We start from the raw sequence: 25,185 nt of genomic DNA on the forward strand, positions 1-25,185 counted from the left end.
GCTGGGCTGGGCGCAGTGGCTTATGCCTATAATCCCAGCATTTTGGGAGGCTGAGGTGGGCGGATCACCTGAGGTCAGGAGTTCAAGACCAGGCTGGTTAATGTGGTGAAACCCCATCTACTAACAATACACAAAAATTAGCCAGGCATGGTGGCCTGTAATTCCAGCTACTCAGGAGGCTGAGGCAGGAGAATCGCTTGAACCTGGAGGTGGAGGTTGCAGTGAGCCCAGATTGCACTCCAGCCTGGGTGACAAGAGGAAAACTGTCTCAAAAAAACAAAAACAAAAACAAAGTGTACAAAAATTTTTGTTGTCTTTTGATTTTTTTGAGATAGAGTCTCACTTTGCTGCCCAGGCTGGAGTGCAGTGGTGCAATCTCAGTTCACTGCAACCTTCACCTCCTGCGTTCAAGCAATTCTTGTGCCTCAGCCTCCCAAGTAGCTGTGACTATAGGCGCCCGCCACCACACCCAGCTAATGTTTATATTTTTAGTAGAGACAAAGTTTCACCATGTTGGCCAGGTTGGTCTTGAACTCCTGACCTCAGGTGATCTGCCCGCCTCAGCCTCCCAAGGTGCCCGGGATTATAGGCATGAGCCACCATGCCCAGCCTAGCTTTGTCTTTTGACTCTCAAAGATTACTAGAATGTTGCCGCTGGAAGGGACCTCATTGAACACCATGATTTTGCCAGTGAGAAAACCGAGACACGCAGCTGGTTAGTGCCACAGTCAACTCCCTCTTCACTGGAGTTGCCATGGCTCAGTGGGTGATATTAGAAGATGTCATGATAAAGTAATATGACCAGTTTTTCTTCATAGAAAAGATCGTTTTCACACCACGTTTCCCTCATGTATGCTTTTTTTTGTTTTTGTTTGTTTGTTTGTTTGTTTGTTTGTTTTGAGATGGAGTCTCACATTGTTGTCCAGGCTGGAGTGCAGTGGCGTGCTTTTGGCTCACTGCAACCTCTGCCTCCTGGGTTCAAGCAATTCTCCTGCCTCAGCCTCCCGAGTAGCTGGGATTACAGGCACGTGCCACTGCACCTGGCTAATGGTTGTATTTTTAGCAGAGACAGGGCTTCACCGTGTTGGCCAGGCTGGTCTTGAACTTCTGACCTCAAGTGGTCCATCCACGTCATGCTGGCAATACAGGTGTGAGCCACTGCGCCTGGCCTGTATGTTGTTGTTTTTAATCTGAGTGAACCTTGTCTCCTTCCAAGAATTCCTTTTGGGAGACTTGTCACATGACTTCCTACCTATAGTGATATCTTGCCCATACCCCATAACCCCAAATAATATGAGCTGAAAAATTAAGTTTTAGAATTCAGATTACTGGTGTTCATGGCATTTATGACACACAGTTTTTCTTTTCTTTTCTTTTTGAGACACCTTCTCGCTTTGTTGCCCAGGCTAGAGTGCGGTGGTGCGATCTTGGCTCACTGCAACCTCTGCCTCCTGGGTTCAAGTGATTCTCCTGCCTCAGCCTCCCAATTTGCTGGGATTACAGGCATCAACCACCACACCCAGCTAATTTTTGTACTTTTAGTAGAGACAGGGTTTCACCATTTGACCAGGCTGGTCTCCAACTCCTGACCTCAAGTGATCTGCCCGCCTCAGCCTCCCAAAGTGCTGGGATTACAGATGTGAGCCCCTGTGCTGGGTCAGAAATATTTTTAAAGTTAAAAACAAAATTCGGCTGGGCATGGTGGCTCACACTTGTCATCCCAACACTTTGGGAGGCCAAGGTGGAAGAATCGTTTGAGCCCAGGAGTTCAAGACCTGCCTGGGCAACATAGGGAGACCATGTCTCTATAAAAAAATTCAAAATTAGCTGGGTGGGCCAGGCACGGTGGTTCACGCCTGTAATCTCAGCACTTTGGGAGGCTGAAGTGGGTGGATCACAAGGTCAGGTGTTTTGAGACCAGCCTGGTCAATATGGTAAAACCCCGTCTCTACTAAAAATACAAAAATTAGCTGGGTGTGGTGACACATGGCTGTAGTCCCAGCTACTTGGGAGGCTGAGGCAGAAGAATTGCTTGAACCCAGGAGGCGGAGGTTGCAGTGAGCTGAGATCGTGCCACTGCACTCCAGCCTGAGTGACAGAGCAAGACTGTCTCAAAAAAAAAAAAAAAAATTAGCTGGGTGTAGTGGTGCATCCCTATAGTTTTATCTTCTCAGGAGGCTGAGGTGGGAAGATACTTGAGCCCAGGAGATAGAGGCTGCAGTGAGCAGCGATAAGATTGCGCCACTGTACTCCAGCCTGGGCAACAGAGCGAGACCCTGTCTCAAAAAAAAAAAAAAAAAGCACCATGAGACAGGGTGAAGAAAAAGGAAGCCTTGTGAATCTTTAAAAAAGTGTTTTCCGCTAGCACCAGAGTTGGAGGAGGGCAGGTTACAGTACAAATGCGGACCCCTTTTAACCTTGGGGAGACTGGGTGGCTGGACCCCCAGGGCAGTGAGTGTCTTGACTATGGGAGTGTAATATATAAATATTTCCATTTTCTGTGAGCCATGTTGTAAAAAGATTGGGAAATACCGTACTGTAGCACAGGATCTAGTCAAACAAAAAAGTGTCTCCCCACACCAAGAACTGGGAGAAGTCTATATTACCCATTTTTGTGGATTGGGAACTGTTTTGGGACTTCCTATTTAAGATGGGGTTTTGCTATGTTGCCAAGGCTGGGCTCCAACTTCTGGCTCAAGGGATCCTCCCATCTCACCCTCCCAAGTAGCTGAGACTACAGGCACATGTCACTGCACCTGGCTACAAGACCTCCTGTTTATTTTATTTTATTTTATATATTTTTTGAGACAGAGTTTTGCTCTGTTGCCTAGGCTGGAGTGCAGTGGCATGATCTCAGCTCACTGCAACCTCTGCCTCCTTGGTTCAAGCGATTCTCCTGCCTCAGCCTCCTGTGTAGCTGGAATTACAGGTGCTTGTCACTATGCCCGGCTAATTTTTGTATATTTAGTAGAGACAGGGCTTCACCATATTAGCCAGGCTGGTCTCGAACTCCTGACGTCAAGTGGTCCACCCACCTCGGCCTCCCAAAGTGCTGGGATTACAGGCCTGAGCCACCTCGCCCAGCCAGGACCTCCTGTTTAAATCAGATCCTGTCATTTTCCATCTCTTTTTGGCAAGGTCTTGAGCTTTCAGGTGAGTTGGCCATACCAGGTGCCTTGATTGGAGGGGAGGCCTTGTCAACCTAATTTCAGGAACAGGTGAACATCACGCACTTTGCAGCTGTGTTTTTCTCCCGACTGGCAGCTACACACCTTTCCTCTGCAACCATCCTGCCTGAGAGTTTAAGTGCATGTTATCTGTGGGACCTCGTGCAATCCAGTTTTCTTATAGAACTGCATGCTTATGTGAGCATTCTGTTCCCCAAATAATAACTCCACAGTTTCCATGCTCTCTCCAAACTCTTGCAGTCTTTTGTCATCTTGTTGGTTCCCTTACTAGCAAATTAACTCGTTTAGACTCGGAGAGCCCTGCCAGTTGAAGTCCAGCTGGGAAGAAATCCAGGACCAGGAACCTTTCCAAAAGGTGCAGATCAAATGGAAATGTTGCCAGGAGGCCACGAAGACCCAGGGATTCATGACTGTCCAGGACTCTTCCTCACCACCAAGGCTTCCAGCTCACAGCGTTTAAGGGGTGTAGGCTGGCCTAGAGAAAGCAGGAGGACAGGGGCCCCTTAGCAGGCAACAAGGACCAACTGAGGGCCTGGTGTGGTGGTTCATGCCTGTAATCCTAGCTGCTCAGGGGGCTGAGGCGGAAGGATGGCTTGAGCCCAGGAGTTCAACACCAGCCTGGGCAACACAGCGAGACCCCCATCTCTACAAAAAAATTAAAAAATTATCCAGGCGTGGTGGTGCATGCCTGTAGTCCCAGCTACTTGAGAGGCTGAAGATGGAGGATCAACTGAGCCCAGGAATTCAAGGCTGCAGTGAGCCATGATTGTGCCACTGCACTCCAGCTTGGGCAAGAGAGCCATATCCTGTCTCTTTAAAAATAAAATAATGAACTTGTAACCACCTAATGGGTTCACCTTGCCCGCTGCCTAGACAGAGCCAATTTATCAAGACAGGGAATTGCAATGGAGAAAGAGTAATTCACGCAGAGCCGGCTGTGTGGGAGACTGGAGTTTTATTATTACTCAAATCAGTCTCTCCGAGCATTTGAGGAACAGAGTTTTTAAAGACAATTGGGCGGGTAGGAGCTTGGGAAGTGGGGAGTGCTGATTGGCCAGGTTGAAGATGGAATCAGAGGTTGTTGGAGTTTTTCTTGCTATTTACTCTTCCTGGTTGGTTTGGCAGAACTGGTTGAGGCAGATTATCGGTGTGGGTGGTGTCAGCTGATCCACTGAGCTGATTCAAGGATTGTTGTCTCATGCCTCCCTAAAATGTAAAAGACCAAGTGAGGCAGGAAAATAGGGTCTGGAGGTAGGGAACATAAGGCCGATTCACGCTTCAGCTATAAGGGGAAATACCCTCTCCATAGGGCATACACCGAGTAAATGACTTCGTAACTTTACTTCACCGTCTTCATTTACATCGGGCGTACCCCAAGCAGAAGGTATTTAAATTCACAGAAATTCTGCCGGGCCTTTGAGTCCCTGTGTTCAGGCCTGCTCCCACACTGTGGAGTGTACTTTTTCAATAAAACCCTTCATTCCTTCCTTGCTTTGTGTGTGCCTTTTGTCAAATTCTTTCTTCAAGACACCAAGAACCTGGACACCCTCCAACTTTAACACAAGCTGTGCCTCGACCACGTCTAGCAAATGTCGTTAGGACTTCCTGTGTCAGGGGCGCCTGTCCTCAACCTTGGCAAAATTTTTTGTTTTGTTTTGTTTTTTGAGACAGAGTCTCACTCTGTCGCCCAGGCTGGGGTGCAGTGGCCTGATCTCAGCTCACTGAAACCTCTGCCTCCCGGGTTCAAGCGATTCTCCTGTCTCAGCCTCCCAAGTAGCTGGGATTAGAGGCGCTCCCCACCATGCCAGGCTAATTTTTCTATTTTTAGTAGAGACGGGGTTTCACCATGTCGAGGATGCTAGTCTCCAACTCCTAACCTTATCAGGTGATCCGCACCCCTCGCCTCCCAAAGCGCTGGGATTACAGGCCTGAGCCACCTCGCTCTGCTGGCCAAATAAACTTTCTAAATGAACTGAGACCTATCTCACATTTTCAGGATTCACAGGCTCTTATCAATTTTGTTTCAGAGTCAAACCATGGACTGAATTCCTTCCCAAGGTTAGTTGGGCTTCCGCCCAGGAATAAACAAGGACAGCTTAAAGGTTAGAGGCAAGATGGAGTTGATTAGGTCTGATTTCTTTCACCATCACAATTTCCTCAGTTACAATTTTGCAAAGGTGGTTTCCAACGGACTCAGCCGCACGCGGCCCCTCTGTCCCTCCGGGGGACAGGCGAGTGTCCCTGGGGCCTGCAGGGCAGTCCTGCTGGCTGCAAAAGAGAGAATCACGCGACCCCTAGCCGGGCCTCCCAGGGCCTCCGCGCGTCAGTCCTCCTGGCCACCGCGTGGCGCTGTGCCTTACGTTGTTGGGCCGTTGGGTGGACCACGTGGTCTCCGACGCCTCAAGGCCTGCTCAGCGTGCGCGGGCATCCGGTGGGTGCGGGAGGCCCGAGGCCAGGCAGGCAGGGATCCCGCAGCGAGGGGCTGGTTACTGCCAGGACGGAGCGCATTGCCTCGAGCCGACCCCGGGGTCCGCGAGGGCTCCTGGGGACGAGGAGTGTGGGGCACCTGCCGCGGGGGGCCCAGGCGCTAAAGGTGGAGGGAAGGAACGCACTCGCGGCGGGGGCCTGGCCGGGGCGGACGCAGCCAGCCTCACCCGCGACGGTAGGGGACTTCCAGGGCGAGGGGGCCCATCTGCCCTCGGGCGCCAGGAGGATGCTCCAGCTCCTGGTGCTGAAGGTGAGCGCCGCCAAGCCAGACCCACGCCAGACCCACGCAGTCCCCCACCCCCACCCCAGCCGCGCACAGCCTCCCACCCCCACCCCAGCTCCGCACAGCTTCCTACACCCACCGCAGCCCCGCACAGCCTCCCACCCCCGACCCCAACCCTACACAGCCCCCACCCCTCCCCCCATCCCAGCCTCCACATCCCTCCACACCCACTCCTCCCAGCCCACGCATCCCCCCCATGTCCACTCCCTCTCAGCCCACACCTACTCCCCACGCCCACTCCTCCCCCAACCCACACATCCTCCCACACCCACTCCCACCCAGCTCCACCCCCACACTCACACATGCCCCCACCCCATCTCACTGCTGCACACTCCATCCCACTCCCACACATCCCAACCCCGTATATCCCATGCCGCCACACCACGCCCCCACTCCCACCCCACTCCCACCCCAACCCATCCCACTCCCAACCCCACACACCCCCAACTCCTACCCTAGCCCCAGCTCCCACCCGTTTCCTTATCGCTGCCCACCCCACAGTCACACCCTCGCCCCTGTCCCCACCCCATCCTTATTCCCACCGCCCCCACTCACACCTCCACCCCAACATTTCATCCCCCCACACTCAGCCCCACACACCCCACCACCACCCCATCTCCACTCCCACCTGCACCCCAGCCGCAGCCCACCCCACCTCCACTCCAACCCCACCCCGCCCTCCCCCACCTGAACCCTCCCTGCGCCCCCACCAGGGGGCACCCCGGGCTGGGAGCTGGGGTAGAACCCGGATGAGCCCGGGTTTCACGGGCCCTGGCGTGCTCCGGGATGCACCTGGAGGAGCGCGGAATTGGTTGCTCCTCCGAATGCTCGATCACCCGGGCCAAGCGACACTGGCGTCCCCAGGGCCCCGCTCTCCGTACTCCACGGGGCCCTTAGGCTCGGCGCCTGGACAGGGTCGGGTGGCCCGGGCAGCCCCAGCCCATGGGTCCGGGCTTCCCTCATGCCCCCAGTCTCTGTTGCCCTATCCGCTCACCGCGTGGGCTCTGCGTGGGCGTTGTTCTAGTCCTCGGGGAAGGGACGCCCGCCTGGACCCTTGCTTTTCCCCCTTGGAGTCCAGTGAGGGCTCATTGGTGAAGGGGAAAGCGTTGCTGGAGGAAGGAGTTGACAGGCCAGAGCAGAGGGGTGGGTATGGGTTATTGGAGAAAGGAAATCTAAATACTTTGAAAATCACACTTCAGTGGGCCCAGGAGCTGGACGTAGCAGATTGTGGGATTGTTTTATTTTATTTTATTATTTATTCATTTATTTTTTTGAGATGGAGTTTCGCTCTTGTTGTCTAGGCTGGAGTGCAGTGGTGTGACCTCAGCTCACTGCAACCTCCGCTTCCCGGGTTCAAGTGATTCTCCTGCCTCAGCCTCCCGAGTAGCTGGGATTACAGGTGCCTGCCACCACACCTGGCTAATTTTTGTATTTTTAGTAGAGACAGGGTTTCACCACGTGGCTGTTCTCGAACTCCTGACCTCAGGTGATCCACCTGCCTCCGCCTCCCAAAGTGCTGGGATTACAGGCGTGAGCCACCGTGCCTGGCCTATTTTATTTTATTTTATTTTATTTTATTTTATTTTATTTTATTTTGAGAAGGAGTCTTGCTCAGTCACCCAGGCTGGAGTGCAGTGGCGCGATCTCAGCTCGCTGCAAGCTCCGCCTCCCGGGTTCACGCCATTCTCCTGCCTCAGCCTCCCAAGTAGCTGGGACTACAGGCGGCCACCACCACGCCTGGCTAATTTTTTTTTTTTTTTGTATTTTTAGTAGAGACGGGGTTTCACCATGTTAGCCAGGATGGTCTCCATTTCCTGACCTCGTGATCCACCCGCCTCGGCTTCCCAAAGTGCTGGGATTACAGGCGTGAGCCACCACGCCCGGCCGGTGCGATTTTTAAAACCAGCACTCTCCTGCTCTTACTTGATGTCTTGTGTAATCTCTCTGAACAAAGATTCACAAATGTTTGAGGAAGCTGACTCTTACAGAGAATTTGCCCTCAGACTTTTAGGTGTTCAGATCCACCAGGCGAGCTCCTCTCCTCCAGTCAGATGTTGTCTGTCAGTCCTAACGATGCTAGTCCGATTTCTTCTTTAGAAGAGACAGGGCTCTTCCAGGGCTACACATCCTGAAACATGCACAACCATCCCGGCAGAACTTTGATAGCAGGAGCTGGACTTGCTGCCTCCTGTTCGCGAACCCCTTTCCTCTCAGTTGGGCCCAGGAACTCTTTCATTTACCTGCTCAACTCTGATCTGCCCCCACTTCTGGCCCTCAACCAGCTCACCCCCTGAGCAAATTCTGTCCTGAATAGGAGTGTCTCCCCAAGTGCTGTGTAGGTACCACCTGTCCTGCAGATGAAGTTAGCTTTTACAAGGATGAAATATTTTTCCCTCCATGTATCCATCAACAGATGACTGGGTAAACGGAAGGTGGTTTGTACATACACAATGGCATATTATTTAGCCTTAAATATCTGAGAAATCTTTGTCTGACTCACAGTCACAAAGATTTTTTTCCCCCATGTATCCTTTTATTATTTAAAAAAAATTTTTTTTTTTTTTTTTTGAGACGGCGTCTCGCTCTGTTGCCCAGGCTGGAGTGTGGTGGAGCAATCTCGGCTCACTGCAACCTCCGCCTCCCGAGTTCAAGCGATTCTCCTGCCTCAGCCTCCTGAGTAGCTGGGATTACAGGCGCGTGCCACCACAGCCGGCTAATTTTTATATTTTTGGTAGAGACGGGGTTTCAGCATCTTGTCCAGGCTGGTCTGCAACTCCTGACCTCAAGTGATCTGCCCTCCTCGGCCTCCCAAACTGCTGGGATTACAGGCAAGAACTGCTGCACCTGGCCCCCCCATGTAACCTTTTAGAAGTTTTATAATTTTATATTTTACATTTAGATATATGATCCGAGTTAATTTTTGTATATGGTGCAAGGAATGGATGAAGTTTCATTTCTTTGCACGTGATTATCTAACTGTTCCAACATCATTTGTTGAAATGACTATCCGTCCTCCTTTGTGTCTTATCAAAAATCAATTGACTATATGTGTGATTATATTCCTGTTATATTGATTTATGCACAATACCACACTGTCTTATTACTGTAGCTTTATAGGTAACTATTTTGTTTTTTTTTTGAGACGGAGTCTTGCTCTGTCCCCCAGGCTGGAGTGCAGTGGTGTGATCTCGGCACAGTGCAAGCTCTGCCTCCCGGGTTCATGCCATTCTCCTGCCTCAGCCTCCCAAGTAGCTGGGACTACAGGTGCCCGCCACCATGCCCGGCTAATTTTTTTATTTTTAGTAGAGACAGGGTTTCACTGTGTTAGCCAGGATGGTCTCGATCTCCTGACCTCGTGGTCCACCCATCTCGGCCTCCCAAAGTGCTGGGATTACAAGCATGAGCCACCGTGCCTGGCCCTTTATAGATAACTCTTGAAGTCAGGTGATATGAGTCTTCCAACTATATTCTTTTTCAGAATTGTTCTAGTTCCTTAGCTTTTGTAATATGCATTTTGTAATTGCTTGCTGAGTCTACCAAAAAAAAAAAAAAAACCATGCTGGAATGGAGTTGTATTTATAGATGGGTTCAGAGAAATATATATTAATACAGTATATCTATACTTATTTAGATCTTTCATTTCTTTCCGTCAGTGTTTTATAACTTTCAGCATAGGAATTTTGCACATATTTTTAAGATTTAGACCTTTAAGTAATTACTGGGTTTTGTTTTGTTTTTCAGTAAAAGACACAGGGTCTTGCTTTGTTGGCCAGGCTGGAGCGCAGTGCTGTAATCACAACTTACTGCAACCTCAAACTCCTGGGCTCAAGGGAGCCTCCTGCCCCAGCCTCCTGAGTAGCTGGGCCTAAAGGCATTTGCCCCCACTCCTGGTTAATTAAAAAAAATTTTTTTAGAGACAGGGTCTCACTGTGTTGCCCAGGCTGGTTTCTCAAACTCCTGGGCTCAAGCAATCGTCCCACCTCAGCCTCCCAAAGTAATGGGATTATGGGAATGAGCCACCACTCCCAGCCTTTTTGTAATTTTAAATTTCCAATTTCCATTTCTGGAATATAGTAATACGATTGAATTATTATTTTTTAATTTAATTTTAAGTTCCAGGATACAAGTGCAGGACCTGCAGGTTTGTTACATAGATAGACATGTGCCATGTTGGTTTGCTGCAACTATTAACCCATCATCTAGTTATTAAGCCCCGCATGTATTAGTTTTTTTATCCTGATACTCTCCCTCCCCTCTGTCCCATAGGCCCCAGTGTGTGGTTCCCCTCCCTGTGTCCATGTGTTCTCATTGTTCAGCTCCTGTTTATAAGTGAGAACATACGGTGTTTGGTTTTCTGTTCCAGTGTTAGTTTGCTGAGGATAATGGCTTCCAGCTTCATCCATGTCCCTGCAAAGGATATTATCTTGTTACTTTTTATGGTTACCTAGTATTCCATGGTGTATATGTACCAAATTTTCTTTATCCAGTCTATCACTGATGGGCATTTGGGTTGATTCCATGTCTTTGCTATTGTGACTAGTGCTACAGTGAACATACGCATGTATGTCTTTATAACAGAATGATTGATATTCCTTTTGGTATATACCCAGTAATGGGATTGCTGGGTTTTTCTGGTTCTAGATCTTTGAGGAATCACCACACTGTCTTCCACAATGGTTGAATTAATTTATACTCCCACCAACAGTATAAAAGCATTCCCATTTCTCCACAGCCTTGCCAGCCATCTGTTGTTTCTTGACTTTTTAATAATTGCCATTCTGACTGGCATGAGATGGTATCTCATTGTGGTTTTGATTTGCATTTCTCTAATGATCAGTGATGTTGAGCTTTTTTTCATATGTTTGTTGGCTGCATAAATGTCTTCTTTTGAGAAGTGTCTGTTCATGCGCTTTGCCTACTTTTTGATGGGGTTTTTTTCTTGTAAATTTGTTTCAGTTCCTTACAGATTCTGGATATTAGATCTTTGTCAGATGGAAAGATTGCAAAAATTTTCTCCCATTCTGTAGGTTTTCTGTTAACTCTGATGATAGTTTCTTCTGCTGTGCAGAAGCTCTTTAGTTTAATTCAATCCCATTTGTCAATTTTTACTTTTGTTGCAATTGCTTTTGATGTTTTTGTCATGAAATCGTTGCCGTTGCCTATGTGTTGAATGGTATTGCCTAGATTTTTTTCTAGGGTTTTTTTTTTATAGTTTTAGGTTTTACATTTAAGTCTTTAATCTATATTGAGTTAATTTTTGTATAAGGTGTAAGGAAAGGGTCCAGTTTCAGTTTTCTGCATACGGCTAGCCAGTTTTCCCAGCACCATTTATTAAATAGGGCATCCTTTCCCCATTGCCTGTTTTTGTCAGGTTTGTCAAAAATCAGATGGTTGTAGATGTGTGGTCTTATTTCTGAGATCTCTATTCTGTTACATTGGTCTATGTGTCTGTTTTTGTACCAGTACCATGCTGTTTTGGTTACTGTAGCCTTGTAGTATAGTTTGAAGTTGGGTAGCATGATGCCTCCAGCTTTATTCTTTTTGCTTAGGAGTGTCGTGGCTATATGGACTCTTTTTTGGTTCCCTATCAATTTTAAAGTAGTTTTTTCTATTTCTGTGAAGAATGTCAATGGTAGTTTAATGGAAATAGCATTGAATCTATAAATTACTTTGGACAGTACGGCCATTTTCACGATGCTCTTCCTATCCGCGAGCATGGAATGTTTTTCCATTTGTTTGTGTCCTCTTTTATTTCCTTTGTTAGTTGTATTCCTAGGTATTCTCTTTGTAGCAACAATTGAATTATTTCAATAATCTTGTGCCTTGTAGCCTTGTAAAGTCAATTATTAGTTCTGGCATATATTATATATTTTTTATTGTAAAAAACATGTAACGAAGTTTGCCATCTCAACCATTTTTAAGTGTACAGTTCATGGTATTAAATACATTCATAATTTTTTTTTTTTTTTGAGACGGAGTCTTGCTCTGTCGCCCAGGCCGGAATGCAGTGGTGCGATCTCAGCTCACTGCAAGCTCTGCCTCCTGGGTTCACGCCATTCTCCTGCCTCAGCCTCCCAAGTAGCTGGGACTACAGGCTCCCACCACCACGCCTGGCTAATTTTTTGTATTTTTAGTAGAGACTGGGTTTCACTGTGTTAGCCACGATGGTCTTGATCTCCTGACCTTGGATCCACCCGCCTCAGCCTCCCAAAGTGCTGGGATTACAGGCGTGAACCACCACACCCAGTCAAATACATTCATAATGTTGTGCAACCATCACCAATGTCCCTCTCCAGAAGTCTTTTTCCTTTTGCAAAACTGAAACTCTGCTTTCTCTATGAATTTGACTACTCTGAGTGCCTCATATAAGTGGAATCATACAGTTTATCCTTTTGTGACTGGCTTATTTCACTCAGTATAATGTCCTCAGGGTTCATTATGTTGTACCATGTGTCAGAATTTCCTTTCTTTTGAAGCCCAGTGCAGTGATGTGAACGTGAGGACCCAACTACTTGGGAGGCTGAGGTGGGAGGATTGCTTGAGGTGAGGATTGCTTGAGGTGAGGATTGCTTGAGGTGAGGTGGGCAATATAGCAAGACCCTGTCTCTTAAAAAAACAAATATATGTCTTTTTTTAAAAAAAGAATTTCCTTCCTTGTTCAGACTGAATAATAGTCCATTCTGTACCACATTTTGCTTATCCATTTATCTGTTGAGGGACACTGGGTTGCTTCCACATTTTAGCTATTGTGAATAATGCTGCTATGAACACAGGTGTGTACGTATCTCTTCAAGATCTTTCAATTCTCGTGGATCTACACCCAATAGTGGAATTGCTGCATTATATGGTAATTATAGTTTTAATTTTTTGAGGAGCCACCCTACCATTTTCCACAGCAGCTATGCCGTTTTACATTCATACCAACAGTGCACAATGATTCCAGTGTCTCCACAGCCTTGCCAACACATTATTTTCTGTTTTAACACACCTTCCAGCACACTGAATTTTCAGGTTTTTTTTGACAGTAGTTATCCTCATGAGTGTCAGGTAGTATCTCACTATGGTTATGATTTATATTTCTCTAATGATTAGTATGTTGAGCGCCTTTTCATGTACTTATTGGCCATTTGTATATCTTCTTTGGAGAAATGTCTATTCAAATCCTTTGCCCATTTTTTAATTGGTGGTTTGGGTTTTTGTATTGTTTTAGGAGTTCTCTGTATATTCTGGGTATTAATCCCTTATGAGATATAAGCCTTGCAAATATTTTCCCCCATTCCATAAGTTGACTTTCTACTGTGGTGATAGTGACTTTTGATGCACACAGTTTTTAAATTTCAATGAAGCCCAGTTTGTCTATTTTTTCTTTTGTTGCCTGTGGCTTTGGTGTCATATCCAAGAAATTTTTGTCAAATCCAACGTCACAAAGCATTTGCTCTGTGTTTTCTTTTGTAGTTTTAGGCCTTCCATTTAGGTCTTTGATCCATTTTGAGTATGGTGTCACATAAAGGTCCAAATTTATTCTTTCATTTTTATTTTTATTTTTATTTTCTTTTTGAGACAGAGTCTCACTCTGTTACCCAGGCCGGAGTGCAGTGGTGCAATTTCGGCTCACTGCAACCTCCACCTCCCAGGTTCAAGTGATTCTCTTGGCGTAGCCTCCTGAGTAGCTGGGATTACGGGCATGTACCACCACACCCGGCTAATTTTGTATTTTTAGTAGAGACGGGATTTCACCATGTTGGCCAGGCTTGTGTCGAACTCCTGACCTCAGGTGATCTGCCTGCTTTGGCCTTCCGAAGTGCTGGGATTACAGGTGTGAGCCATTTTGTCTGGCCTCCAAGTTCATTCTTTTGCATGTGAATATCCAGTTTTCCCAGTGCTCATTTGTTACAAAACCTTTCCCTGAATGGTTTTGGTACCCTTGTCAAAAATCATTTGACTAGACCACAAGGGTTTATTCTGGACTCTCTATTCTACTCTGTTGGTCTATATGTCTGTCTTTATTTCAGTACCATACTGTTTTGATTACTGTAGCTTTGTAGTAAAGTTTTGTGATCAAGTGTGAGTCCTCCAGCTTTGTTCTTTTTTGATATTGTTTTGGCTATTTTGGGTCCCTTGGGATTTCATGTGAATTTTAGAATGTGCTTTTCTATTTCTGAAAAAATATCATTGTGGATTTTGGTAGGGATTGAATTGAATGTGTAGATTGCTTTGAGTAGGATTGACATCTTAATGATATTAAATCTTCCAGTCAATGAATGTGGGATGTCTTTCCATTTATTTATGTCTTCTTTAATTTCTTTCAGCAGCGTTTTATAATTTTCATTGTAGTTCTAATTTTTTAATAGACTCCTTAAGGTTCTCTGTGTAGACAATTGTGTTCTTTATGAATAAAGACAATTTTATTTATTCCTTTCTAATCTTCCTGACAGTCTTTTTCCTGTCTTACTGTACTAACTGGGACCTTTAGTACAATGTTAGCGAGTATACCCCTTGTGAAATTTTTCTTTTCCTTTTTTTTTTTTTTTTTGTGACAGAGTCTCACTCTTGTTGCCCAAGCTGGAGTGCAGTGGCGCGATCTTGGTTCACTGCAAGCTCCGCCTCCTGGGTTCACTCCATTCTTCTGCCTCAGCCCCCTGAGTAGCTGGGACTACAGGTGCCCACCACCACACCTGGCTATTTTTTTTTTTTTTTTTTGTACAGATGGGGTTTCACCATGTTAGCCAGGATGGTTTCGATCTCCTAACCTTGTGATCCGCCCGTCTCGGCCTCCCAAAGTGCTGGGATTACAGGCATAAGCCACCGTGCCTGGCCTAAATTTTTATTTTTCATTTATGAAATTTACGTTTTCCACAGCTTGTGTGTGTGTATCTATATCTATACATGTATAAATAGATACATATCTATATACATATAGAGTTTCCATTTCTTAAGTGAGATTCTTTTGTTTTCAACTCACTCTAACCATCTCATCTTTAAGTTCTGTATTTATAATAGCTGTTTTTAAGTCCTCGCCTGTTAATTCCAATATCTGGGTATCTTGGGTTCACTTTCTGGTGACTGCTTTTTCTTTTTCTTTTTTTTTTTTGTTTTTTTTTTTTGTGAGATGGAGTCTTGCTCTGTCGCCCAGGCTGGAGTGCAGTGGCGCAATCTCGGCTCACTGCAAGCTCCACCACCCGGTTTCACACCATTCTCCTGCCTCAGCCTCCCGAGTAGCTGGGACTACGGGTATCTGCCACCACGCCCAGCTAATTTTTTGTATTTTTAGTAGAGACGGAGTTTCATCGTGTTAGCTAGGATGGTCTCGATCTCCTGACCTCGTGATCCGCCCGTCTCGGCCTCCCAAAGTGCTGGGATTACAGGCATGAGCCACCGTGCCTGGCCTAAATTTTTATTTTTCATTTATGAAATTTACGTTTTCCACAGCTTGTGTGTGTGTATCTATATCTATACATGTATAAATAGATACATATCTATATACATATAGAGTTTCCATTTCTTAAGTGAGATTCTTTTGTTTTCAACTCACTCTAACCATCTCATCTTTAAGTTCTGTATTTATAATAGCTGTTTTTAAGTCCTCGCCTGTTAATTCCAATATCTGGGTATCTTGGGTTCACTTTCTGGTGACTACTTTTTCTTTTTCTTTTTTTTTTTTTTTTTTTTTTTTTTTTGTGAGATGGAGTCTTGCTCTGTCGCCCAGGCTGGAGTGCAGTGGCGCAATCTCGGCTCACTGCAAGCTCCACCACCCGGTTTCACACCATTCTCCTGCCTCAGCCTCCCGAGTAGCTGGGACTACAGGTATCTGCCACCACGCCCAGCTAATTTTTTGTATTTTTAGTAGAGACGGAGTTTCATCGTGTTAGCTAGGATGGTCTCGATCTCCTGACCTCGTGATCCGCCCACCTCGGCCTCCCAAAGTGCTGGGATTACAGGTGTGAGCCACAGCACCCGGCTAAAACTGCGTATTTCTTTCAGCCTTCCCACCATTGGTCTTCTCTGGACTCCTTGGGGTCTCATTTCTGCCAAGAATGTGACAGGTGTTCTTATGCAGACTTTAGGGCTCCCCCTCTGTGGCTCTCCGTTTAGGAATTTTACCCTTTAATTCTCAAGCTGCTATGGCAGCCCCAAACTCTGTTCTCTGATTCCTCAAGCCACAAACATGACTTTCTCCTTGAATTGCAGCTGGTTAACACCACGTGGACTGGGGAATGGGCTCAGGGGAAAAGCCGTGTAAAAGTGGATCTCACCCAGGGAAGTTTCCTTCTTTCAAGGGTTGAATCTCCTTCAGGTTCTGCTTGCTTTTGGTAGCTCTTCACTGCCTTCAAATAGTCATTTTTGTATTTTTTCCAGGGTTTATTATTGTTACCCACAGGTGATATAGAAACTATTCTATTGTCACTGGAACCAGAATAACTACTGTTCTTTTTTCTGATCATTTGTTATAAAAATGTTCAAACCTTCAGAAAAGTAGAAATAATACTAGTGGGAATACCTGTATTCTTGCCACCTTGGGCAAAGATGTCATTTTTGCCCAAATCTTGAGATGTCATTTTTTCTAGGCAGAGTTAGGTAATACTTTTGAAAAATCATGAGTTCTTGGCTGGGCGCGGTGGCTCACGCCTGTAATCCCAGCACTTTGGGAGGCTGAGATGGGCGAATCACCTGAAGTCAGGAGTTCAAGACCAGCCTGGCCAACATGATGAAATCCTGTCTCTACTAAAAATACAAAATTAACTGAGCATTGTGGCGCACGCTTGTAATCCCGGCTACTCAGGAGACTTAGGCAGGAGAATTGCTTGAACCCAGGAGGTGGAGGTTGCAGTGAGCTGAGATTGCGCCACTGCACTCCAACCTGGGTGACACAGCGAGACCTTTTGGTATTTTCAATCCAAATTTAACTTTTCACTTTATATTTGTGTCTTTAACAATGAAAATCTTGGCTTCTAATAACAATAGTACATAACAAAATACATTCCAGGAAGTCTGACTTTCTTCCGTGTCCCTTCTCCATTTCTCTCCTCCCCTTAGACCATGATTTGCATTTACTTTGGTTTATCTGCCATTATTATTTTTTTTATTATGAGCAGAATGTACTTATATTCACATTGCTTTCTCTTTCTTACAAAAGAAGAATACAAATCAGGCACAGTGGCTTATGTCTGTAATCCTAGCACTTAGGGAGGCCGAAGTGGGAAAATTGCTCGAGCCCCGGAGTTTGAGACTAGCCTGGGCAAAATAGCGAGACACCATCTCTATTTTTTTTTTAATTAAAAAAATTTTTTTTAACAAACAAAAGTACTAAAAACATTGCTCTGAACCTTGTGTTTGTATATTACTATGGATTTTTCAGAATATGGGAGATTGAGGACATCCGTTCGTTATTTGAGTCACAACACATAATTGAGAATTACATACTGTTGGTTATGTGTTTTAGAATTTTATCTTCGGTCTAACCATTTAAGCAAAGGCATTTGTCAAGAATTTGTTAGGTCACTTAAATTAGAAACAGTAATCGTGGCTCTAAAGTTTATTTTGTGGTACTACTTTTAAATCATACGCTGTTCTGTTTGTCTTTTAAAAAATTTACAGATTGAAGATCCAGGTTGCTTCTGGGTTATTATAAAAGGGTGTAGTCCCTTTTTAGATCATGATGTCGATTATCAAAAATTAAATAGTGCCATGAATGACTTCTACAACAGCACGTGTCAAGATATAGAAATAAAACCCTTAACATTGGAAGAAGGACAGGTATGTATCTAAATGTTCTTTAATCACTGTGTATTGAAACACCACTCAAAATATAAACTATTTTGGCAACGATGATGATTCAAGCTTTTAGAGTATTTTAGTTTCTTACACTCAGTGCCTTGTGTTAGGTTTTTTTTTGAGATGGAGTCTCGCTCTGTCACATAGGCTGGAGTACAGTGGCACCATCTGGGCTCACCGCAACCTCCGTGTCTCGGGTTCAAGCACTTCTTCTGTCTCAGCCTCCTGAGTAGCTGGAATTACAGGCATGGGCCACCACACTCAGCTAATTTTTGTATTTTTAGTAGAGACGGGGGTTTCACCGTGTTGGCCAGGCTGGTCTCGAACTCCAGACCTCAGGTGATCCACCCGCCTCAGATTCCCAAAGTGCTGGGATTACAGGTGTGAGCCACTGTGCCCAGCCAGTGTAAGGTTCTTTAGGTTGCACAAGATTCAGGCTAGTCATGGAAGGGGGTGGCCGCCATGTAAGGTCCATGTGGGGCAAAAGTAGACAGAATGTCATCTACACCCAGGCATTAGGGCCATCCCTCTGGGGCTGGGAACCAGGGGGTTATTTGAGATCCCACAGAGGTGTAGGGATCTCAGCAAAGAGGGAATAGGGTCTTCAGTGTAGGGCCAACGCCTCCCTTTTGGTTGCATGACTTTGGCCAACTCAGATGTCTTTGTTCTCCTTACTCCACGCCGTGGCCCCTCCTTGCCTTCTTGCAGACTCAGCTCTCACTGCCCCTTGTCATGGTTGCCACAGCTCAGCTACTTTTCAGAAGAGAGTGAATTTTTGTAATGGTATAATAGGAAAAGGTTTATAAACTCTTTATGAGAAAAAGCAGAAATAATTTGAATCCACTTCCCCCAAATCATCATTAATAACATAATTTATTTTAGTATATGTGCTGCCGAAGCAAGCACAATAACATAATTTGTTTCCACGCCATTGACTAATTGAAGAAGTTAAACCAGGTCAATTGTTTTTAAAAATATTCCACATTTTGGGTTGGGCATGCTGGCTCTTGCCTGTAATCCCAGCACTTTGGGAGGCCAAGGAAAGAAGATTGCTTGAGCCTAGGAGTTTTGTGAACAGCCTGGGCAACATAGTAAGACCCTGTCTCTACAAAAGATAAAAAGATTAGTGGGCATGGTAGCACGTGCCTGTGGCCCCAGCTACTCTGGAGGCTAAGGCAGAAGATCACTTGAGCCTGGGAGGTAATAGCTGCAGTAAGCTGTGTTTGCGCCACTGCACTCTAGCCTGGGCGAGACAGCGAGACTGTCTCTTAAAAAAAATATGCGTAGCCGGGCGTGGTGGCCCACGCCTGTAATCCCAGCACTTTGGGAGTCTGAGGCAGGTGGATCACCTGAGGTCAGGAGTTCGAGACCAGCCTGGCCAACATAGTGAAACCCCATCTCTACTAAAAATACAAAAAATTAGCTGGGCGTGGTGGCAGGCACCTGTAATCCCAGCTACTAGAGAGGCTGAGGCAAGAGAATCACTTGAACCTGGGAGGCGGAGGCTTCAGTGAGCCGAGATCACGCCATTGCACTCCAGCCTAGGCAACAAGAGTGAAACTCTGTCTCAAAAAAAAAAAAAATGTATATGTGTGTGTGTATGTGTATAGTTAAATATAAAGCTTTGGGTAGATTTAAGGTTGCTTCTGTTTTTCAAGAATAGGTGTACTGTGAACTTCATGTGAACTTCATGTTGAATTGAGAGATGATGTTTTCAGTGATGCTGAGATTGACCAGAGGGGACATCCTGACCCTCCTTGTGGCCTTACCTGTCAGCATTCATGTGATGGCTTCTCCATTCAGTGACCACTGCTGCCTGAATCAGCTCTTTTATTCAGGCACTCGATGTGGGGTTTTCTCTCATTCCTTCTGCATTCATCAGCTGGAATTCTTCTGTTATAGAACTTTCCCTGATCTCTTAAGACTGTTTGATTACCCTGAAATAACACTGTTCCTTTTTTAAATTTTTTTAATTTATTTTTTTAATTAATTAATTTTTTTTTTTTTTGAGACAGAGTCTTGTTCTGTTGCCCAGGCTAGAGTACAGTGGCGCCATCTCTGCTCACTGGAAGCCCCACCTCCCGGGTTCACGCCGTTCTCCCGCCTTAGCCTCCCGAGTAGCTGGGACTACAGGCACCTGCCACCATGCCCGGCTAATTTCGTTTTTGTATTTTTAGTAGAGATGGGATTTCACCCTGGTAGCCAGGATGGTCTTGATCTCCTGACTTCATGATCCACCCGTCTCAGCCTCCCAAAGTGCTGGGATTACAGGCGTGAGCCACCGCGCCTGGCCTTTTTAAAAATTTTTTAAATCAGAAGGCCTATGAATGCAAATAATACAGTTCATACTGCAAAGAAAGAGAAATTGTGTGGATCAGTTTTCAACTTAGTGCTTTGTGCCTAGTTATCACATTTTTGGTGTCGAGAGGGTGGTTTTGTTTTTCTCTCCTCCTCCTCCTTTTCTTTTCTTTTCTTTTTTTTTTTTGAAGATGGGGGTCTCACTCTGTCACCCAGGCTGGAGTGCAGTGACTCTATCTCGGCTCACTGCAACCTCCGCCTTTTGGTATCGAGCAATCCTCCCACCTCAGCCTCCCAAGTGGCTAGGACTAAAGGCATGCACCACCACACCTGGCTAATTTTTTTGTATTTTTTGTGGTGACAGGGTTTCGCCATGTTGCCCAGGCTGGTCACGAACTCCTGGGCTCAAGAGATCTGCCCGCCTTGGCCTCCCAAAACGCTGGGATTACAGGCATGAATCACTGCGCCTGGCCCTTTACACTTTTAAGTACAAACAGACCTCATTTTATTGTGAATTCGCAGTAACTATGTTTTTTTACAAATTGAAGGTTTATGGCAACCCTTCATGGAGCAAGACTATAGGCACCATTTTTCCCACAGCAGGTCCTCACTTCATGTCTCTGTGTCACATCTTGGTAATTCTCCCAGTGTTTCGAACTTTTTTGTTATTATTCTATCTGTTATAGTGATCTGTGGCCAGTGATCTTTGAGGTTAGTATTTTAATTGTTTTGGGGTGCCACGAATTGCACCCATGTAAGATAGTGAATTTTATCAATAAATGTGTGTTCTGACTGCTCCACCATCTCTCTCCCTCTCCCCAGGCCTTCCTGTTCACTGACACACAATTGAAATTAGGCCAATTAATAACCCTACAATGGCCCCTAAGTGTTCAAGTGAAAGGATGAATCACATTAAATTAAAAGCTAGAAATGATTGAACTTAGAGGAAGACATTTTGAAAGCTGAGATAGGCTGAAAGCTAGGCCTCTTGCACCAAACAGTTAGCAAAGTTGTGAATGCAAAGGAAAAGTTCTTGAAGGAAATTAAAAGTGCCACTCTGGAGAACACACAAATGAAAAAAAAAATGAAAAAAGAAGCAGCCTTATTGGTAATATGGAGAAAGTTTTATTGGTCAGGATAGAGGCTTAGAACCAGTTACTACATTCCCTTCAGCCAAAGCCTGATCCAGAGCAAGGCCCTAACTCTCTTCAATTGTATAAAGGCTGAGCAAGGTTAGGAAGCTGCAGGGAAAAAATGTGAAGCTAGCGGAGGTTGGTTCATGAGGTTTAAGAAAAGAGGCCATCTCCACAACATAAAGTGCAAGGTGAAGCACAAGGGCTGATGGAGAGGCTGCAGCAGTTTCTCCAGATGTAGCTATGATCATTGTTGAAAGTGGACACACTAAATAAGAGGTTTTCAATGTATACAAGACAGCCTTCTATTGGAGAAGATGTCTTCTAGGACTTCCAGAGCTAAATAGGAGAAGTCAGCCAGGTGTGGTGGCTCACACCTGTAATCCCAGCACTCTGGGAGGCTGAGGTGGGTGGATCACCTAAGGTCAGGAGTTCGAGACCAGCCTGGCCAACATGGTGAAACCCTGTCTCTACTAAAAATACAAAAATTAGCCAGGTGTGGTGGCGGACACCTGTAATCCCAGCTACTGGGGAGGCTGAGGCAGGAGAATTGCTTGAACCCGGGAGGTGGAGGCTGCAGTGAGCTGAGATGGCACCACTGCACTCCAGCCTGGGTGACAGAGAGAGACTCCATCTTAAAAAATAAATAGGAGAAGTCGGTGTCTTTAAAGGACTAAAGCTTTAAAGGTCAGAGTGGCTTTCTTTTTAGGGGCTAATGCAGCTGGTGACTTTTAAGTTGAAGCCAGTACTCATTTACCATTCCAAAAGTCCTGTGACCCTTAAAGATTATGCTAGCTCTACTCTATCTGCTCTACGAATGGAACAAGAAAGCCTGAATGACAGCACATCTGTTCACGCATGGCTTACTGAATATTTTAAGCTTACTGTTGAGATCTATGCTCAGAAAAAAAGATTCCTTTCAAAATATTACTGCTGAGCTGGGTATGGTGGCACGTGTCCACAGTCCCAGCTACTTGGGAGGCTGAAGCAGGAAGATCACTTGGGCCCAGGAGTTTGAGTCCAGCCTAGGCAATGTAGTGATGAGACCCTGTCTCTAAAACAAAAAACAACAAACAATTAGTGCTCATTGACAGTGCACCTGGTCACTGAAGAGCTCTCATGGAGATATATGAGATGAATGTGGCTTTCATGCCTCATTTTGAAGGTTGGCTGGCTGTGTGAATTATTAACTATTCATGGTATTTCTACAAGATGCTTTGACTTCAGCATTAAATAGAAATACCCTTCATCCTTTGTCAGGATTTCTGTTGAATTATTCGAGTTTTGAGTTATGTGAGGTTCTCTAGAACCTGTGCCTTGCAGTATGGCTGTACTGTATTTTCCAACTTATTCCCAAGGACAGCAATCTCTATCAGTCCCCTTCCTTTCTGTCTGAGCGCAGCTCTCCTGCTGGACTGCTTTATAAACCTGTGGTTAGCATACGGTTTATTAGTTGAGTTGGCTGTGGCCTGGCAGTCCTGTGGTACAGTCAGGATGCCAAGGGTTGTCACCTCTGCAGGGTGGTTCTCCTTAAAAGGGGCTGCAGGCATTTACAGATGCTTCTTAACTTACGATGAGGTTATGTCCTGATAATTGTAGGTAAAAAATGGGCTTAGTACACCTAACCTGCTGACCAGCCTAGCTTACCCTAGCCTACTTAAATTTGCTCAGGACACTTAACATTAGCTTATGGTTGGGCAAGATCACCTAATACAAAGCCTATTTTGTAGTAAAGTTTAAATATTTATGTATTTTATTGAATACTGCACATTATGTAAAAATTGCAATAGTTTCACACCATCATAATGTTGAAAATTGTAAGTTAAACCATCATAAGTCAGGGACTGTGCACTTATTCAGCCATCAAACAGGCAGTTTATTGATTGATTGAGACAAACTCTCATTCTGTCGCCCAGGCTGGAGTGTAGTGGCGCGATCTTTGGCTCACTGCAACCTCTGCCTCCCTGGCTCAAGTGATCCTCCTGCCTCAGCCTCCTGAGTAGCTGGGACTACAGGCACATGCCACCATCCCTGGCTGATTTTTGTGTTTTTAGTAGAGACGGGGTTTTTCCATGTTGGTCAGGCTGCTCTTGAACTCCTGAGCTCAGGTGATCCACTCACCTCGACCTCCCAAAGTGCTGGGACCACAGGCGTGAACCACCATGCCTGGCCCAGGTAGTTTATTTTTAAAACATTTTATTACTGTTATTTTTTTGAGACAGGGTCTCACTGTGTCACCCAGGCTGGAGTGCAGTGGTGCAATCATAGCCCACTGCAGCCTCCAATTCCTGGGTTCAAGCGATCCTCCCACCTCAGCCTCCTAAGTAGGTGAGACTACAGGCACGTACCACCATGCCTGGTTCAAGTAGTTTTTGAAGACTTAGTATATGCCAGGCACTGCTAGGTGCTGGGAATTTGGCAGTAAACAAAACAGACAAAAATCCATGTCATCAAGGAGCCAGCGTCCAGTTATGACAGATAGTAAACAAATGTCAGAGGCCAATAAGAGTCATGGGGAGGCTGGGTGCGGTGGCTCACGCCTGTAATCCCAGCAGTTTGGGAGGCCGAGGCGGGTGGATCACCTGAGGTCAGGAGTTCGAGGCCATCCTGACCAATATGATGAAATCCTGTCTCTACTAAAAAAATTTCTTAAAATTATCTGGGCCTGGTGGCATGCGCCTGTAATCCCAGCTACTTGGGAGGCTGAGACAGGAGAATCGCTTGAGCCCGGGAGGTGGAGGTTGCAGTGAGCCAAGGTCGCACCATCGCACTCCAGCCTGGGCAACAAGAGCAAAACTCCGTCTCAAAAAAAATAAAGAGTCATGGGTAAGGGAGTGGAAGGATGAGCCTGGTGGCAGCTTCCTGTTGGTCAGACACATGATTGACAATCATTCCTAAGCATTATTTCCTGATTTAAGAAGGTAAATGAATGCATTTTTCTTATTTTACTTTCTAAAAATTGTCCTCAGTTAAGGAGTGGAAACAATTGTAGTAAGAAAAACAGTGACCTAGTACTCAGACGGCCTGTGTTCCTGAGGTTTTCTTATGGGCAGAGTGGCTCAGCTTGGGTAGGCCCGGCCTCCTGGCATCTCTTTCCTCTGCTGTAAAGGAGAATGTTGACTGGGATGGTTTTGAGAGTACCTTTTACCTCTCTTGTTCTTTGATGAAATGTTAACACTGACCTTAAAAAACCTTTCTGTTGGCCAGGCGTGATGGCTCACGCCTGTAATCCCAGCACTTTGGGAGGCTGAGGCGGGCGGATCATGAGGTAAGGAGTTTGAGACCAGCTTATCCAACATGGTGAAACCCCATCTCTACTAAAATACAAAAATTAGCCAGGCATGGCGGCAGGCACCTGTAATCCCAGCTACTTGGGAGGCTGAGGCAGGAGAATTGCTTGAACCTGGGAGGTGGAGATTGCAGTGAGCTGAGATTGTGCCACTGCACTCCAGCCTGGGCAATGGAGTAACACTCTGTCTCAAAAAAATAAATAAATAAAAATAACTCTCTGTTTATTTTGCAGGTGTGTGTGGTCTATTGTGAGGAGCTAAAGTGCTGGTGCAGGGCCATTGTCAAATCAATTACGTCTTCCGCAGACCAGTACCTGGCAGAATGTTTCCTTGTGGACTTTGCCAAGAACATTCCAGTCAAATCTAAAAAGTATGTACATGTTTATCTCACCTTACGCTCTTTTCAGAGACAAATGTCAGTTTCAAAGGAGAACGTCCATTTTAAAGTACGGGGCTAGAGGTCACTACACTGAGAAAAGACAAAACTGGAGTTCTTTAGCTTCCAGAAGGGGTGCTTTCTGGGTTTCAGGTCTGCACCCACTGACTGGCAGAGTGGGTGGGCAGGATGAAGGCTGAGGTGGCTCTGGCCCTCTCCCACTGTCCGTCCTGGCAGGACAGGCAGGTTCAGATGGTGTTCTTTGCATCTCCTGGCTGCTCTCTGCATCTCCTGGCTACTCTCTGCATCTCATGGCTACTCTCTGCATCTCCTGGCTACTCTGCATCTCCTGGGTTCT

General features: G+C 45.8%; 1 protein-coding gene across 11 annotated transcripts in view; it reads left to right on the forward strand.

Moving 5' to 3' along the window:
* Window positions 1–5,595: 5,595 nt before the first annotated feature.
* Window positions 5,596–25,185, forward strand: part of TDRD12 (tudor domain containing 12) — a 109,814-nt gene continuing 90,224 nt past the window's right edge. For all 11 annotated transcript variants that reach the window (NM_001437947.1, XM_011527473.4, XM_011527475.3 and 8 more), the window contains exons 1-3: window positions 5,596–5,925; window positions 17,554–17,712; window positions 24,685–24,821. In NM_001437947.1, the coding sequence (NP_001424876.1) occupies window positions 5,902–5,925; window positions 17,554–17,712; window positions 24,685–24,821 (320 nt within the window). In that variant the 5' untranslated portion in view covers window positions 5,596–5,901. The remainder of the gene's footprint in view (window positions 5,926–17,553; window positions 17,713–24,684; window positions 24,822–25,185) is intronic.

Source organism: Homo sapiens, chromosome 19 (genome assembly GCF_000001405.40).
Source record: "Homo sapiens chromosome 19, GRCh38.p14 Primary Assembly".
Taxonomy (NCBI): Eukaryota; Metazoa; Chordata; class Mammalia; order Primates; family Hominidae; genus Homo; species Homo sapiens.